This window comes from Homo sapiens, chromosome 11 (assembly GCF_000001405.40).
Source record: "Homo sapiens chromosome 11, GRCh38.p14 Primary Assembly".
NCBI lineage: Eukaryota > Metazoa > Chordata > Mammalia > Primates > Hominidae > Homo > Homo sapiens.
The window spans coordinates 124,297,254-124,315,867 of record NC_000011.10 but is presented as its reverse complement, the minus strand read 5'-3'; the positions used below and the strand labels follow the sequence as shown (position 1 = coordinate 124,315,867).

General features: G+C 35.9%; 1 protein-coding gene across 1 annotated transcript; it reads left to right on the top strand.

Moving 5' to 3' along the window:
• Positions 1-1,918: 1,918 nt before the first annotated feature.
• On the top strand, positions 1,919-13,037 carry OR8D1 (olfactory receptor family 8 subfamily D member 1). The gene is made up of 3 exons (NM_001002917.2): positions 1,919-2,147; positions 4,192-4,296; positions 5,086-13,037. The coding sequence occupies exon 3, from the start codon at positions 5,102-5,104 to the stop codon at positions 6,026-6,028; it is 927 nt and encodes a 308-aa protein (NP_001002917.1). The 5' UTR covers positions 1,919-2,147; positions 4,192-4,296; positions 5,086-5,101; the 3' UTR covers positions 6,029-13,037.
• Positions 13,038-18,614: the final 5,577 nt, after the last annotated feature.

The following is an 18,614-nucleotide window of genomic DNA, read 5'->3' as shown; positions in this document are numbered from 1 at the left end:
CGAGATAAAAGTCTGAGTCTCCTAAATGCCAACCAGGATTATTTCTCTCTTTTCATCATAAACAATTATTGGTACGAAATTGAAAACATTTTTACCATGAATTCTGAATCAAAGAATAGTTGAACTACAAAAAAAATCCTTCTGCTTCTAGTATAAGTTTTTCTCATCATAAAAGTTCTAGCACTAAGAAATTTGAAAAATAATTTACTTAATTCTGATTATTTTATTGATAAGGAATCTAAGTCTTAGAGTCTCAATGACTTCCTTAGAGACACATATTTATTTTAATTAAATGAACATTATATATATAATTATATATAATATATATATATATGGTTAGTTCAATGCCCACTACACAGTGAGCATCTATAAGCAGTATTACTAATTATGATACTATAAAAAGGAGTAGTTGTTATAATTGATGATATTAGTATTGGGGCAGATTTGAAACTAAAACAAGATACTGAGTAAATCCAGTTCTGAATCAACTATATTAACATATTTTTTATGTGTAAACATTACTAGAGATCTGTGGATGCTTTATAGCTGACTTCATTAAAGAAGTGAGTCACTGGGGAAATCCTGTTTATTTCTGGCGGGACCAATACAAAAATGTTGAGGTGGCTCTTAAGAGCTACATCCCCTTTGACGGTGGCTCTACATCAGGAAAGCATAGAACTCATGTGACCTGGAATGGGAGGTACCCTGGACAGGGTGGAATAGATTAAAGCTTTTTAAGCCATTGAGTGACATAAACTGCAGTCACAGGGAATAGTACAGGAGCAGAGGCTGAACGATTACTGAATTCTGGTAATTAAAAATTGGTTCAGTGGAAAAGATTCCATGGAAGATATTTCTCAGGATCGTAGAAGATTTCTGATCTGAACTCTTTCACAGGAAGGACAACCAGGACATTCTATGTTGCTTATCTATGGTAACCAACTTTACAGTTCTCAGAATTTGGCTTTCCCAAGACAATATAATTTCCTTTTTTTTTGGAGATGGAGTCTTGCTCTTTTACCCAGGCTGGAGTGCAGTGGCACAACCTCGGCTCATTGCAACCTCCACCTCCCAGGTTCAGGCGATTCTCCTGCCTCCGGAATAGCTGAGATTACAAGCATGTGCAAACACGCCAGGCTAATTTTTGTATTTTCAGTAGAGATGGGTTTTCACCATGTTGGCCAGGCTGGTCTCAAACTCCTGACCTCAAGTGATCCACCTGCCTTGGCCTCCCAAAGTGCTGGGATTACAGGCGTGAGCCACTGCGCCCAGCCCCAAGACAATATAATTGCAATGAGAGACCACAATAGGGTTGCCAAAAATTTGGTTTTCCAAGTAAAGGCATTCAAATACAATGTAAAAATAAATAAGCAAGCAACCAAAAGACATAACTATTATCTACTGTCAGAACCATACAATAAAATGAAAGAATATTTCGAATCCCAAAACATTTAAAGAGGTAAAATTGACAACCTCAGAAAAGGACAGCCTTTGAATTGAATAAGTTTAGTTTTAGAAAAAATATTATGTTGTCTTTGTTTTTCTTCAGTTTAAAACAATTTTTACTCATTGATGAACTTTTAGTCAAGAACCAGCAACTGACTTCGGAATCAATTTTGGGAATCATTGATCTAATTCCTCTGTGTTACAGAATCCTTATTGGTAACATTAAAAATAAAATAAGAAACTTCTTTCAGGACCTCCAACACTCTTGGGATAAACGGCAATAGGGGGCCCAGGACATGATGTGATCATTTCTGCAGAGGGTTATTAAATGTTGGGCACACCAGTAATCTCTGGGCTCAATAGGTCTTGGGGGATTTGTGTGTGTATGGGTGTGTTTTTATTCCTAATGATATCCCTAAGCTCACTAAACCTCAGATGAAAGCTGCATATCATGCCGCCCTCTTGCTTTTAAGATTGGGGGAGCTGGATATCATGATCTGCTTCAAGGTCCAAGAGTTGTTTGTACTATTTAATAAATTTTGATGTTTTACTTTTAGCCAACCAAATAATTCAGCCCTTGGCATATAAATGTGTGTATAAGGTAGTGGGAAAGACTTTGTTCTTTGTTGGCTATTACAGGGATCTGCGACCTGAGCAAAGTGAACAATTCCTAAGAAATTCTGTTTCTGTGCAGGACCAAGGTAAGTGTCCCATCTCCTTTATGACCATCATATTATATCTAATGCAAGGGCAATTGGCGATTAACAACCGTGCTGACCCTTGTGCAACATTTTCTCTTTACTGAGGAGCACCTGCCCCACTGTTCTCTCCTCTAGGTTATGTCCTCCCTTCTCCTCTTCTATTGATTTTGCCTTGTCACTTCTTTATAACCTGGGTCACAAAATCTGCAGGAATGATTCCTAGTCTAAGTTCAACCAGCTCTGGTGCAGGAATTTCCATATGACTGAAGTGTTTGCTTCCCTGAAATTCTTCTGGCTTACGTATTTATTAGTGTTACTTGTCTTCTTGCACACCATCCTACACATACAAATTTCTTTCTTTTTTTCTTTTTCTTTCCTCTTTTTCTTTCTTTCCTTTTTCTCTTTCTTTTCTTTCTTTCCTTCCTTCCTTTTTTCTTTCTCTCTCTCTCTCCTTCCTTCCCTCCTTCCTTCCCTCCCTCCCTCCTTCTTTCTTTCCTTCTTTCTTTTCTTTCTTTCTTTCTTTCCTTCCTTCTTTTTCTTTCCTTTCGAGATGGAGTCTTGCTCTGTCACCCGCGCTGGAGTGCAGTGTCACGATCTTGGCTCATTGCAACCTCTGCCTCCCAGGTTCAAGCGATTCTCCTGCCTCAGGCTCCCGAGTAGCTAGGATTACAGATGCTTACCACCACGTCCAGATAATTTTTGTGTTTTTAGTAGAGACAGGGTTTCACCATGTTGGCAAGGCTAATCTTGAACTCCTGATTTCAGGTGATCCGCTCACCTCAGCCTCCCAAAGTTCTGGGATTACATGGATGAGGCACCACGCCTGGCTCAAATTTCTAAGAGATAAAGATACAATCCCAGGTAGAGTATTCATTTTGGACAGAGTATTAAACATAAATTCCTACCTTCTCATCCATCTAAAGAAATGTTCTCCCAGCACTTTGGGAGGCCGAGGTGGGTGGATCACCTGAGGTCAGGAGTTTGAGACCAGCCTGGCCAACATGGTGAAACCTTGTCTTTACTAAAAATACAAAAATTACCTGAGCTTGGTGGTGCATGCCTGTAATCCCACCTACTCAGGAGGCTTAGACAGGAGAATTGCTTGAATCTGGGAGGCAGAGGTTGCAATGAGCCGAGATGGCGCCATTGCACTCCAGCCTGGGCGACAGAGCAAAACTCTATCTCAAAAAAAAAAAAAAAAAGAAAGAAAGAAAGAAAAATGTTCTGAGGTCACTAGGAGATGGATCAAGAGTCCATTCAGCTTGCATAGCTCTGCTGTGTTTCCTCCTGGCCTCATAAGCACATGTCCCTTGGAGATGAAAACACTTCAGTGCCCCCAACTCCTTCAAAAAAGGCCAAACACTTTAAATCCCTCTCAAAATTTCCAAATCTGAAAACAAACATTTTAAAACCTAACCAGCACCAAATGTTTAAAACATTTTGGTTATTCTTACCAAAGTGAAGGACCTAGGGCAAAGAAACACATGTGTCTGTCTTTTCTTCATACAAAGGTAGTGTATTTTCATCTCCTGATGTTATGTACTTTTCTCTGTTCAATTGTATTTAACAATATGTGCCACATGAAATGTTGACAAGTGTTTTTAGATAATGAATCTTTACATTTACCATTTTACCTTTGAAACAGGTATCCCACTTCACAGATTAGAACAATGAAGTTTACATGAAATGACTTGCCCAGTGTTACAAACTGGTCTGCAGTAAAGTCAACCCTTGAAATACACCTACTTTGATACCCAAACCTTTCCATTCATTGCTGAGTAGACTATAGTTCACCTCATTAAGCTCATTCAATATTTCTGTTGTCAAATAGACATTGGAAGTGCTGAGTTTGCAAAACTGAACAGGTTTCTTTCTAGCTGGACTATTTGGAGCCTTAAATGAATAACTGGCACCTGACAACACACACACTCCTCTGAAATGGCTCCACCAGGGAGCCAGTTCATGTTGAAAAGGGTGGACCAACTAGATTCTAGTGCTTCTTCTGGGAAAAGTACAGCATTCTCTTTTATTTCTTTGTATCCAGGGCCCAAACCACCAAGGGTACCACGCTTTGGAAAGTTCAAGATTTACACCCATAGCAACATTCTTCTCAGACACCTTCAGAAGCACCTTTTCCTGCCACCGTAAGGTCTGTTCTGTGGGGTGTGCGGATCTCGTAAGTCAGGGGGGAAGTAGTTCACTGCTAGGATTCCAGCCAGCCAACTCTTCTGGCAATAGTTGAGGTCCGATAAGACTCTGTGAACTTTATAGATGAACACCTGGGTTACAAGAGATTGTTCTCATCAGTGATTCCAATGATGAAGCTTTTGCCTCCCCCACCCTTCTCCAGCTTAGCAGAGGGCCAGAGGTATTATGTGGAGACTCCCACTTCTGCAGTATTTTTACACTGGAGGTATTTTTATTCAGCATAATGAGTAGATGCCTTACACCCAACCCCATGCCCACCATCACTCCAGTTGGAAGTAATAGACACTTTCAATTCTCCGAGGCTGAGGCGTCATCCTCTCCTTGTTTTCAGATATTGTGAGAAATATGTGCAGGCCTTTGAGTAGGAGAAAACTGGGGAAATTGAAAAAGTGATTGAATCTTCCTTCAATCTCTTCTACTGTTTAACTGTGACAAATTGGCTATCAGAAATTCTCCCCACAAAGTAAACATTTGCTTTTTTTCTACCAAATTCAGGAGGCAAATGTTACTGAGTCAGTCAGGAAGTACTTTTTTGTAACTTAAATTCTGGACCAACTTGGAGAAGGCCCAGGGAACTTTAGGGAGACAAAGCAGAGGTATCAAGTTTAGAGACAATGAAAACTATGACTCAGTCTGTTAGCTGCTGTCAACCTCCCTTATGCAATTTGGTTTTGTTTGGAAGAGCAGTGAGGGTCCATGTTAAGGTAATTCATACTTTCTATTTTCACAGAAATGCCTAAAGAAGAATGACCATGGAAAATTATTCTATGGCAGCTCAGTTTGTCTTAGATGGTTTAACACAGCAAGCAGAGCTCCAGCTGCCCCTCTTCCTCCTGTTCCTGGGAATCTATGTGGTCACAGTAGTGGGCAACCTGGGCATGATTCTCCTGATTGCAGTCAGCCCTCTACTTCACACCCCCATGTACTATTTCCTCAGCAGCTTGTCCTTCGTCGATTTCTGCTATTCCTCTGTCATTACTCCCAAAATGCTGGTGAACTTCCTAGGAAAGAAGAATACAATCCTTTACTCTGAGTGCATGGTCCAGCTCTTTTTCTTTGTGGTCTTTGTGGTGGCTGAGGGTTACCTCCTGACTGCCATGGCATATGATCGCTATGTTGCCATCTGTAGCCCACTGCTTTATAATGCGATCATGTCCTCATGGGTCTGCTCACTGCTAGTGCTGGCTGCCTTCTTCTTGGGCTTTCTCTCTGCCTTGACTCATACAAGTGCCATGATGAAACTGTCCTTTTGCAAATCCCACATTATCAACCATTACTTCTGTGATGTTCTTCCCCTCCTCAATCTCTCCTGCTCCAACACACACCTCAATGAGCTTCTACTTTTTATCATTGCGGGGTTTAACACCTTGGTGCCCACCCTAGCTGTTGCTGTCTCCTATGCCTTCATCCTCTACAGCATCCTTCACATCCGCTCCTCAGAGGGCCGGTCCAAAGCTTTTGGAACATGCAGCTCTCATCTCATGGCTGTGGTGATCTTCTTTGGGTCCATTACCTTCATGTATTTCAAGCCCCCTTCAAGTAACTCCCTGGACCAGGAGAAGGTGTCCTCTGTGTTCTACACCACGGTGATCCCCATGCTGAACCCTTTAATATACAGTCTGAGGAATAAGGATGTGAAGAAAGCATTAAGGAAGGTCTTAGTAGGAAAATGAGTCCTGATTTGGGGGATTTATAGATGGGAAAAATGAATAGTTCCAATGAACATATATTCCTTTTTTCTATTTTCATGTTCTTCTGTTGTAACATACATAATATCTAGATTTTAAAAATACTTTCCCATCTATGATTGATTCAACTTTCTCAACAAAATAAAAGAATTGTGTAAAGCAGGTATTAACATTCTTATCTTTTGATAGGAAAACTAAGGTCTAGGTAGTTTTAATTTCTTTTACCAATTGTGATAGAAAAGACATGAGAATTCAGATTTTCTCCAATGTTAGTCCTCTCTTCCTAATATCCCATGTTTGCTTGTTGAATACTTGCTATGTGGGAGGTACTGAGTTGTCCACTGATATGAATGCTAAGAGGTATGTTAGCCTGATCCCAGATATCTATTAATTCTTCAGGGAATTAGACAAATACACAAGGGAAAAGAACAGAAAAGAAAAGAAAAAAGAAAAGAAAAGGAAAGAATAGAAAAGAAAAGAAAAAGTTAAGAACAAGAATGGCAATTCTAGTCAGCAGGTCTTATTCGAATCGCTTTTACTATTTTTTTTTCTACTCAGTATATTAAAAATCTCTTTATTTTCATTTCCTTGTTGTTCTTCATGGATCTGGTTTTGTTTTTTTTGTATTTGTATATCTACTTTAACACCACAGTTCTACACTAAGGGACCTCTGACCATGTGTTTTCACTATCTATTGCAATGGAGTTGCCTAAGGTTGAAAAACCTTCCTCATAGGGAAGATATAACCCCCACATTTGTTTCAGTTGGAGAACTGTCCTCTGCAGATTCCTGAACTGAAGCTGTGGTCCATGTTTTTGAGCATGTGACCTTACAGTAAAAGTAGGTACCAAGAGCTCTGTATACAATGCTTTTCTTGGGTTTTCACAGGTCTTAGGTCTCATGTAACATTTCCTTCTGTTTTTGTTTTTAGCTTTTGTATGTTGCTGGGTAGTAATAAGATGCCTCTACTGTTCTGCATCCCTCAGCTGTTTTCTCTTCTTCCCAGGAATATTCCATTGAATTTCTAGCATTTTAACTTCCATATCAAGTTAGTTTTCTTCACTCTATATCACATATTAAACCATTAGTGTTTGCTGAAATTAGTTGCCTTTCTCCCTTTACTTTTTCTTTGTTTTTGCCAAAATAATTTTTACAACCTAATACTCTAGATTTTAGCTTAAAGAATCATTCCAAGCAAGAAATAAGAAATCAGTAAATTTTGTATCTACCAAAATCCTACTGTTCTAACAAAGCTTGTCTACCTTTAGCTCCTACATTTTGATAATCTCACCCAGAATACATCTTCCTATCAGTTTGTTGAACCAGGTCCTAAACATTTACCGTGGCCTTGCTCACCTTCCCCTTAATACATCTTCTCTTCTGTATGCCTTGCTCTAATATTTTTTAATGTTATCTTAGAGTTTCTCAGATACAGTGCCTATATCTTCTCAAGTCCTCCCATTCCTTAAGATCTTTTTGAGGGGGACACATAGTACTTACTCTTTTTCAGCAGCTTTAATAGTGCAATTAACACTTTTCTGAATCCAGGATCCTGACCTTCAAATTATCATTTGGTGCCACATAGTTTTCTAACCTGTCCTCTTCTCTCTCTTATTCCAGTTTAATTAACTTATTTTACTTTTAGTCTCATTTTTCTTCTGCTCTTGTTAGGGTTATAAAACTGAAGCATTCTTTCTAAATCACTTTATTTTCTAAGCAGATTTGATTCTTAGAAACAGGGTGTTCCAAACCCAGATTTTAAAACTGTATTCTTAGTTGTTAGCTTTGCAATAATTCAATTGAACTGTTTCTCTTTCTCAGTATATTTAGATGCAATATTATTTTTATGCTAAGACCCTCTTCCCCCGTTATTTTTATTTTTATTTTTTATTTTTTGGTTCATGAGTGAAATCTACCACCCCTTTAAAGGGAAAGCTCCAATTTAGAAGATGGGTATTTGTAGCCCTGCTCAGAACTTATACATTTAACAAATCCAGGGAGAGCTTGAGACCATTTGGTGAGAGTTAACCCTCAAGCATGTGGACAAGCTGGAAAACTGTGAAAATAACCAATTATTATCCCATCCCCTGTGTCTAAAATACCTTTATATGAAAATATTCTCTTTTCCCTATAATCATATCATGACTTTCTTGAAAAAAGCTTCCCCTTTGTGTTCAATTTTAAGCTGCACCAATATTTTCTGATTCTTAAGTGGCTTTCGCAGTTGCTAAGGTTGCTCAAACTATCCAGCCTACAATTACTTAGGATTATAGGACCCAGGGCTTTGTGGAGCCTCACTTTGCTCACATTTTTCAGAAGACAGCCTTTCCTGAGGCATTTGCCTTTTGCTTAGGGCCTAGCACTAGCAGCATGATCTCCAGGGGAATGAATCTGTGCTCTTCTAAAGTTATTCACTTATTTGTAAACAACTCTTCTGTATATGCACCAGTGGAAGTTAAAATCTTACATTGTCAGAGGTCAGGAACCACAGCTGCCTGCTGGGATCACTACAGTTAAAAGTTACACATAAACTGTAAACTATAAAATATTGCAAAATAAATGTCACTGCATGCTCCTGAGGTCAAAATCCTCTCTCCTCATGGAAAGTCCCAAACTTGTAAGTACACTTTTGTACTTAAATCTACTTTTGCTGTTAAGTTCTTCATAACCCTGGTCCAAACCACCAGATACTGGTTGTTTGGCAAGGTATATTTTGGGGCAAATAAATTTCTTAATACCAAGCTCTAGCATTAGACAAAATTGCCACTTGAACCATAGAAAATGCTGGATCCCTGTAGGTCTCTATTAGTAGAGGTAGAATTTCATAGGCAAGGATAACCAAGGATATATTGTTTCTAAAATATGCTAACTCTCAAAAAGAACAACAAAAAAGAGAACCATTTCTTTTTCACAACTAATCATCAGAAAAGTCATCCCACCTTCCTGGGGAAAGTGAGTAAAGGTGTGAAACAGAGGCGGGAGTATTAGAGTAATAGGTGTTCCTCCTCAGGGATGGGAACATCAGAAGCCAGGAGAGGTGTCTCATTCTTCCTACATATACCCTAGGATTTAGAAAAACAGATTCCAATCAGTTAAGAGTAAAAAAAATGGCAAGGCTATTTTAGAGAAAAGTAGAATCAAGAAATACAGAAGATTCAAAATTATAATTGGGAAATTCGAAGTAACTCTTAAGAAAAGTGACACAAAATCCTTTTTCTGCTGAAAAAACCCTCATCAGCACACTATTAGGATGTTTTTGTCTTACTACAGAAGGGAAAATAAGGACAATGGAGAAGAGAAAAAGAATTTTAGCTGACCAAAATAAAAATACGTAAATGGTGATTTGAAGTTAATACAAAAAAGATTAATATCCCATAGAAAAGTATGCAGAAGTTTCACTGTGAATATTATATGAATATTATATATATAATATTCATTATATATATATAGTAGCTATTAAACTTGGTCAACCATACTAAAAATAAAAATTCAAATAAAATAAGTCATATACTTATTTACCTGTGAAATGGTAAATAATATTTTAATAAATCTTAAAGGTGAGGTAAACAAGAATGATAATATATATAGATAACTGTATTAATTTCTGTAAGACAGGTTGATAATATATATCAAATAATATACGCCAAATAATTCCACACAATTTTACCACGTTATTCAATTTCTAGGCATGCATACTTAAGAAATAAAAGTGACATTGTCAAAGGCAGAGCTATAAATATATTGACAGTAACAAAATAATGAATTGAGTTAAATGTTCTTCAAAGTTATAGGTTTGAGTAAGATTCAGATATCCAGTAGAATAAATATGGTATCATTAAAATAATTTTGTGAAATAGTACTGGCAGGGACAATATGCAAAGTATATAGTAAGTTAAGAAGACGGGCATGATAAATGATACTGATATGTATGACGGCTTGAATGAAAAATCCGTAGTGCTTTAACAGACATTCTTTCTTTTCATATTGAAAGAAGTGTGTAGCATAAAATAAATGAGGATAATGTTTTAGGGGTGTTTTAACATTATTTTTGTGTGTCTGTGTTGAATACAGGGGATTCAAAGGGCTTTATCTTCTACTCCAATCAGTTTTTAAGATATTCCTCCACTGCATTTTAATGAATTTTATATATGTATACACAGAAAATGCACCAAGAGTATAGCTCTTTAAATTGCTAATGATGTTTATATCTATTTAGTGACTCTCCAGGTAAAGATATAGAATATTAGCATCACTCCTGGAGGCCCCCTTTTGCTTTTCCCGAGTCAATACCCATCTTCAAGAAGTACCCACTATATTGACTTGTACAATTGGTCATTTTCTTTTTTTTTTGAACTGTATACAAACTTTTCTCATACTCCATTATAATCCTTCCCTCAACCTTTTTCCACCCTTTCCTAGGCAATCATGAATCCACTTTTGTCATTGTAGATTATTAGCATTTCCAAGAATTTTGTGTTTATAAGGCCATACAGTATATACTCTTTACTTGATGTCTTTTATTCGGCATAATTACTTTCAGATTCACCATGATTTGCATGCATCATAGCACTATCAACTTGCCTTGACATTTTCCTTTGTTAAGATCAACTGACCATCTATATAGGGACCTACTTTGTACCCTATATTCTATTGTCTATCTTTATTATTTTCAGGCATACGCACTGATGGAAATCAATGAGGAAAAGAAAATCTGTTCAACAGATTGTTCTGATTGACTAGATGTCTGTATCCAAAAGCTGAACCTGATTCAATGCCTGACACCATACACACACACTAACTAGAGATTGATTACAGAAGGGAGCATAAGAGCTATCTTTGTGACTGGGAGGTAGTCAAACATTTCTTACATAGAATACCAAGAAAAATGATAAATGTGACTCCATCAAAATTTAAAATTTTTTATTATTAAAAGACACTATTTTAGAATAAAAAAAGTGCACACACAGGCTGGAAAAATAATGTACACACACACATATACAAACACAAAACAAATGTGTCCAACAAATGACTTATATCCAACTTTTATAAATAATTCCTACAACCAATTATTAAAAAAATGAGTAAAAGAAACTTTATATGAACTGTATACTAGGGCTTACAAATACATTAGGCCATTTCAATATTAATAGTCATCAGGAAAATTCAAATTAAAACCATGAAGAGATACCATTACACACCCACTAGAAGGGTTAAAATTTAAAAGATTAAAATATCCAGTATTGGAGAGGATTCAGAGAAATGGCATCTCTCAAATTTTACATGTTGTAGTGTAAAATGTTAAACAGTGCAGAAATAAAAATATACTAGAATGTCTATTAAATCTTTATTCATAATAGCAAAAAAATCAAGAAATGTCCGTCATCTGATAAATGGAGAAGGAAATTATGGAATATATGTATAATGGAACACCACTTAGTAATAAAAAGGGACAATCTATCGAGGCATGCAACCAAACAGATGAATATCATTTAATAATATGTCTAGGCCAAGAAACCACAAACACAAGAGTACACACAGTATAAATCAATTTATTTCAAGTGCAAGAATAGGCAATATAAACCTGTGAAGATAAAATTCATAATGATGATTGTTTCTTTGGAAGAAGTAAATACTCATACTGGATATAAACACAAAAAAACTTTCTCAGGTGATAGCAATGGCCTACATTAGAGACTGACATGTTTTCTCTAAAAAACCAGATAACAAATAGTTTAGAGTTCACAGACCATAAGGATTCCATTGTAACTACTGAACTATTATATTGTAATGAATGAATGTGGTCTTGTACAATACAATTTTATTTATAAACACTAAAATTTAAATTTTATGTAATTTTATTTTGATTTTTTTCAACCATTTAAAAATGTAAAAAGTGATATTAGCTCATAAACAATACTAAACTCTGGGCTGGATTTGCCCCATAACCCATATTTTGCACCACTACTCTTTATCTTGATAGGTGTGCTAGTTATTTGAATGAATGTATTTATCAAAACTCATTGAATTATATACTTAATACCTGTTCATTTTGCTATATGTAATTATTTTGAAATGATTATAATATAAAAATAAGAAAACAGAGGACTTTATGACTTCAAGTGAGCATAATTTTTAAAGAAAATGAATCATAAATACAGCCACATTAAAAAACTTTACAATAAAAGGCATCATACATAAAGCTAAAGGCAAGCTACAAATCAGAAAAGGATAACTGAAACACAAAATAATTGATATCTATAATTTTAAAAGCCCCACAAATTAATAAGCAAAGGACAAAAAGCCTAATAGAAAACCAGGCAAAAGATATAAGCAGCAATTTACATTGAAAACAGAACGTCCAGTAGCCAATAAACAAATGGAACAATGTTTAACTTCACAGAATCAGCCAAATACGACCGTTTACTATACTACATGTCAAGGACTCATATGGTTTAGCCCTGTGTCCACATCCACGTGTCGACAGAGGGACCTGTAATCCCCGTGTGTCAAGAGAGGGAGGTGGTTGGATTATGGGGGCAGTTTCCTCCATGCTGTTCTTGTAATAGTGAGTGAATTCTCACAAGATCTGATGGTTTTATAAATGGTAGTTTTTCCTGCTCTGTCTCACACCTCCCGCCATGTGAGATGTGCCTGCGTTCCCTTCTGCTATGATTGTAAGTTTCCTGAGGCTTCCCCAGCCATGTAGAACTGTGAGTCAATTAAACCTCTCTTCTTTATGAATAACCTAGTCTCCAGCAGTTCCTTATAGCAATGTGAAAACGGATTAATACAGACTCATTTCTGAACTGTCTGTAGTTTTGGTCTCCTTATTCCTTCCTAGTAAGGAGTTCATGAGTAAATCAGGAGACAGGAAGCCCTGGCTCCAGATTCACTTGTGAAACTGCATTCCTGCATATACTCATTTGTAAAGAAATCACACTACTCCAATTCTTCCTTTCTTATAAAACCGTTATGAGAGTAAGATAAGTTAAATATGTGAATAAATAAAACTGTAAATCTTTATAAATTTGATACAATATCATTTGTTATGATTCATCTGACTTGAAAACTATGAAGCCCTTTCTTCTTTAAGGGCTTGGATTTTTTTTTTCCTAAAATGGGTACAGGCAAAGATGTATATGCACTTCTGAGGAAGCTATCAGTTTTATGGCTATAGACCTGAAAGAGAATCTCAACATATTGAGAAATAGTTATTTGTAATGAAATGTCAGACCCAATACATATACACATACCTTTCTGCATGAAAGTTTACGATCTATTTAGGAGTGATAACATCATCCACAAACATTAATCTCTCACAAACATTCACAGTGTCTTAACATGCCTGGGAAGGAAACAATACAGTGTTTCTCAAATTGTGGACAAGGCACAGCTGAAGATAGACTTGGGAAAACTCATGTAAAGAATAAACAGAGTTCATTTTCTTAAAAACCTAATTTGGCTTAAAAATGTGATGGTGTAAACCCAGCAATTTTTATGTTAAAATTGTTGATGTAAGAGAAGTTTGAATATAAATGAGACTTAAAAATTGCCTCAATTTTAACCTGCCTTCTCTTCCTCATTTCATGCCTTTAGCATATTAACTCTTGTCTGCCATTTAAGTTACTTTAGCAGAAAAATTTAAGAATTATCAAAAGAGCATAGAACCAGCACTTAGAAGACTTGCATTGGAAACCTGGCTCCAGCACAAAATGCGTAAGCCTCTGTCTTCCACAGTTCTATCAGTATAATTGCGTAGGGTACATTTAATATAGATAAGTGTACCCCTGGAGAAGCCTGGCAGGCTGTTCAAAAGGCCCCACAAAATGACAGTCACAACCTTGGTATATTAATTTTAGTCTAGAATCTGCCCTCAGCCCTGCAAGCTTGCAAATCTAATTTTGTCTGCAGAGGAAATCATTCTTTTGGGAATGGATTTCACAATAATCAAGCTCAGCAAGCTGATGCACAGGAGCAGAATGCTAGTTTTTAAATTACAACAAATGCAGGACACTTGAAGGTACTGTCAGTCTTCCGATTCAGTCAGGTTACATGGGAGATAGATCCACAACCAGAAGGCCAATATATTAATTTAAAAGAGAACTGAGTTTGTCCCCAGAACTTGCATAATGCAGTCCGCATGACTCATTCTTTCCCTGTAGAAAGGCTGAGTGTGAAGCCAAGTAAGTACAATCCATTAAGTAGGAAAATGGAACAAAGTGAAAAAAATCAGCTATGCTCGTCCTCCCCTTCATTTTATTTTAATTACAATTTAAATGGCATTTTAATTTATGTTTGTTATTACAGTAGATAAAATAGCATAGTAGAAGATAAAATGTTAATTAGATACATATTTACATTAAGTATCATGGAATGACTATTGAGTCACATAGTGTCCTCTTTCTGGGCCTCAATTAAAAATGGTGAATTGATCAAATAAACTTGATGTCTATTTTCAGCTCTAAGACATCCTGTTAATAGGAATAGCTAATATTTACTGAGTGGTATCTCATTCCTTTTTATTAAACAATTAGGTTCTTTTAGTTTTCCTTTTTGATGATAGAAAATGTCAAGTCATTCTAATAGCTAAATTATTATTCATACTTTTTCCTTAAAATTTGTTCACAGAAAAGTAGTTTCTGGGTCAATAATAAGAATATTTTACAAACTTTTGCTATATATCGCATTTCAGAAAGATTATACCAAATTAAATGTCCTCTAGTAGTTATATAAGTAAATGAATACACCTTCACATATATTGATGAAAATTGTACAGGAATATATTATTATGGTTATTTCTGAGGGGTGTGCTATTTATCTTTATTCTATGGTTGCATGTTTTATATTTGTTTATAACAAATGTATATTCTTATACATAAATGTATATTACTTATATAGTCATTGCTAATTTATATTTTCTATATGAAACATAATTTCCCAAGCACTTGTGCATTTAATTTGGATTATAACAATATAACAGACTGGTCTCCAAACTGTCTACCTAATGCTGCACAATTAGCAAGATTTAGTTATCTAAATGTTAAAACTGTCCATCTTGGGCTGAGGCAGCGGGCTGGCTGCATCAGGTAATAACTGTGCACTTAGCTTGCTACGTTAATTGCTACATTAATTGCCCCACCCCCAGGGTACACGCATGTGCCCTGAGGTAAGAAGAGGGTGTGAAGAACAGTGATCTCAGTTGGGTTGCAGGTTTCTTCTAAGCCTCCTGGCAATGCCACCACTGCCTCAGTTTAGTGCTGAAAAAAAATGAGTGGTGGCCAACTGCTAGAGAAATTTCCAGCCGACACAAGCCTAGCACTGAAGAAACCATGAGAGGCCCTACAGTGGAGAAAAAGAAAATATGCTCTATAGGATATGGGCAAGAGAGACAAGCCTTAACCAGGACAAAACCTGTTTCTCTTTAGGTATCCTTCCAGTGCCCTGTATTGACAACACATAGCACGTTGCCCAAGGGCAGAGAAGAACTATTTTAAAAGGCTCAGCTTCATTATTACGCAGCCTGCAAAAAGGATGAATTTAGAAATGAGAGATGAAAGATAAAAAACGGACAGAGGAAACATTCAGTGTTTTACTACTAAGCATAATGTTAGCCGTCAATCTTAGTAGATGCCTTTTTACAGGTTGAGGAAGTGCTCCTCTATTCTGAATTTCCTGAGAGTTTTTATTGGGAACGCACATAGGTTTTTCTATTTTGTCTTGTTTATTGGGGAATTACACTGATTGACGTTCAAATGTTAAATGAATCTTACATTTCCATTATTAACCCTAGTTTATAATAATAAATGAAGGAGTGTGTGTGTGTGTGTGTGTGTGTGTGTGTGTGTGTGTGTGTAAAGGGATCGACAGGGGAGACTGGTGCATATTTCTTTAGATAAGAGAGCTGGGGAAGGAAACAAAGCCAGAGCTCACTCCTAAGCTGTGCATGTGTGGAACAGACCCAAGGAAGTATCACAAAGGCTTTGAAAACTGAAAGACAATTTGAAACACCACCCAGGTCTTAGACTGACCTCTGCGTGGCAAAATCTCATACTAACTTCTGAGCGGTACATTTGAAAGACAAACACGATGCGGCATATTAAAGGCTTTGAAAATTGTACTGACATTGGAAACACTGCCCATGGAAGGCAAGAGGAACTACTTGTCTGATGCTATGGATTGACAATGTGTTAAAACAAACAAAGAAGCAAACAAAAATCAATATTCTCCAGAGAATTTTAACAGGATCTGGAGTCTAAATAGCATAACATGAAAAGTGTCCAGAATGAAATCTGAAATTATTTAGCATACAAAAAAATCAAGAAAATGTAACCAATTCTCAACAGAAGAGATGATCAACAAATACCAACCCTGAGATTACCCAGATATTAGAATTATCAAAAATATTAAAGCATCTGTTATGACTGTGTTCCATAAGGTATAAATAAACAAATTTAAAATAAATGCAGGAACAGAAGTCCTCAGCAGACAAATGTAAACTATAAAAAAGGAACAAAGAAAACATTTAGAACTGAAATATAGAATTAATGCTTAAGAAATTAGAAATAATTAACATCATACTGGGAGTTCTAACTAGTGTGACAAAGAGAAAAAAGGCAAGAGGATACAAAGTAAAAAATGAAACTTTTTCTATTTACATACAATATGTTTATCTCCATAATAAATCCCAAGGAATCTACAATAAAAGCTTCTAGAACTAATAAGGGAATTTAGCAAAGTCACTGTATGCAAAGTCAATATACAAAAATATGTTATGTTTCCATATATTGGCAATTAAAAATTGTAAAGCAAAAGTAAAACGAATAGTATCATTTATAACATCACCAAAGTACACAGTTTTGAGTCTAGTAAAATATGTGCAGGATCAGTATGTTGAAAATAAAACATTAATGGAAGCAATCAAAGAAGACATATATAAATGGAGAAACAAACTGTGTTTATGGATTGGAAGACTCAATATCATTAAGAAATCAATTCTACCTAAACTGTATCATCAATGCACTCTCGATCTGAATTCCAACAGAATATTTTTTTTTAGATATTAAGAAGACAATTCTAAAGTTTATATGTAAAGAATAATTATAATAGACAGACGCTTTTGAAAAACAACAAAGTTTGAGGGCTCATACTACTAGATTTTAAAACTTACTATAATGCATAATGCTATGTTAAATTAAGACCATGTGGTATTGACGGTATTGATGAAGGGACTCATAACTCAATAGAACAGAACAGAGATCCTGAGAACAGAACCACACATATATGGTCAATTGTTTTTTGAAAAATTGTGCAAAGGCAAGTAAATAGAGAAAAATGGTCTTTTCAACAAATACCAAATAATTCTGAAACAATTAGCCATTCATATAGTAAAACAAAACAAAACAAAACAAAAACCAGTGATCCCAGACCCATGCCTAACACCTCATACAAAAATACACTTAAATGAATCATACATTTAAATACAAAATCTGAAACTTTAATACCTTTGAACACTCGTGCAGTCCACATAGACCATTGTGGAATTTTCTGCAGTATTGTAAAAGAGAAACCAAGTCACATTCTCTGGTTTCCAGAAGAGTGTGGTATCTCAGCCTCAGGAACTCAAATTTGGTGTTTATAGAAGGAGGTCCCAAGGGGGTATACTATCAAGACGTGAACACACTCATTCTCCTTGGATTACTTTCTTCACATACCGTTGGGCATTTCTCATGATGTAGTCATTGGTAGCTATGAGGGAGCAATTAAAGTTAACCACATTTGCCACCCAAAATAAAATAACAATAGTGAGATGCTTTGAAAGAGAAAATATATACACCTCTTCCCAGTGTGTTTGCCTAGAGAATGGACTCCAATCCTGACCTCAAGCGTTCATGGTTCTTTTTGTGCCTGTCTCTTACATGTTTATGTCTTTGCCTGTGGTGACATTTAAACACCTGTAATTTAATTGCATCAAAATTTCTGGGAATTTGTAGATATCTACAATTAGCATTACCATTTAAGACAGAATTTAATAAATAATTAACAATTGTTTAGTTGTTATGTGTTCTTCCAGCAAATGCATCTTAAAAGTAACCGTAATAAACTAAATACATTCAAAGAAAGATTATAAATTGATAAAGTGGCTCATCGCATATGAAAATGATTTAATATACCTAACAGTTAATATTGATTGAATATTTGTAAGTACTGTGATTTTTTTTTCAAGTTTAGTGTTTTTTTCTTATTTAAGTCACAAAACAAACTTATTAAGTAGGAGAGAAAGACTAAAGCACAGAGAGATTTAATACCTTGATCACACAGCTGGAAAGTGATTGAGCTAAGAATTAAACCCAGATCTGATTCCAAAGCCAACACTTCTCCCCTTCTACTGTGAGAGCTCCCAAGGGATATTTTGTTTAGAGAAGTAGAGACATGACACTTGACTTCAAATACAAAAACTGCTATGTAGATTTGTCGTGTGGTTTTCCATGGTGAAAAGCCAGTAAAAAGACGTGAAACTAATAAAAACTTAGATTTCATTTCGGTATAAGGAGAAAAACAATGGTGAGATATG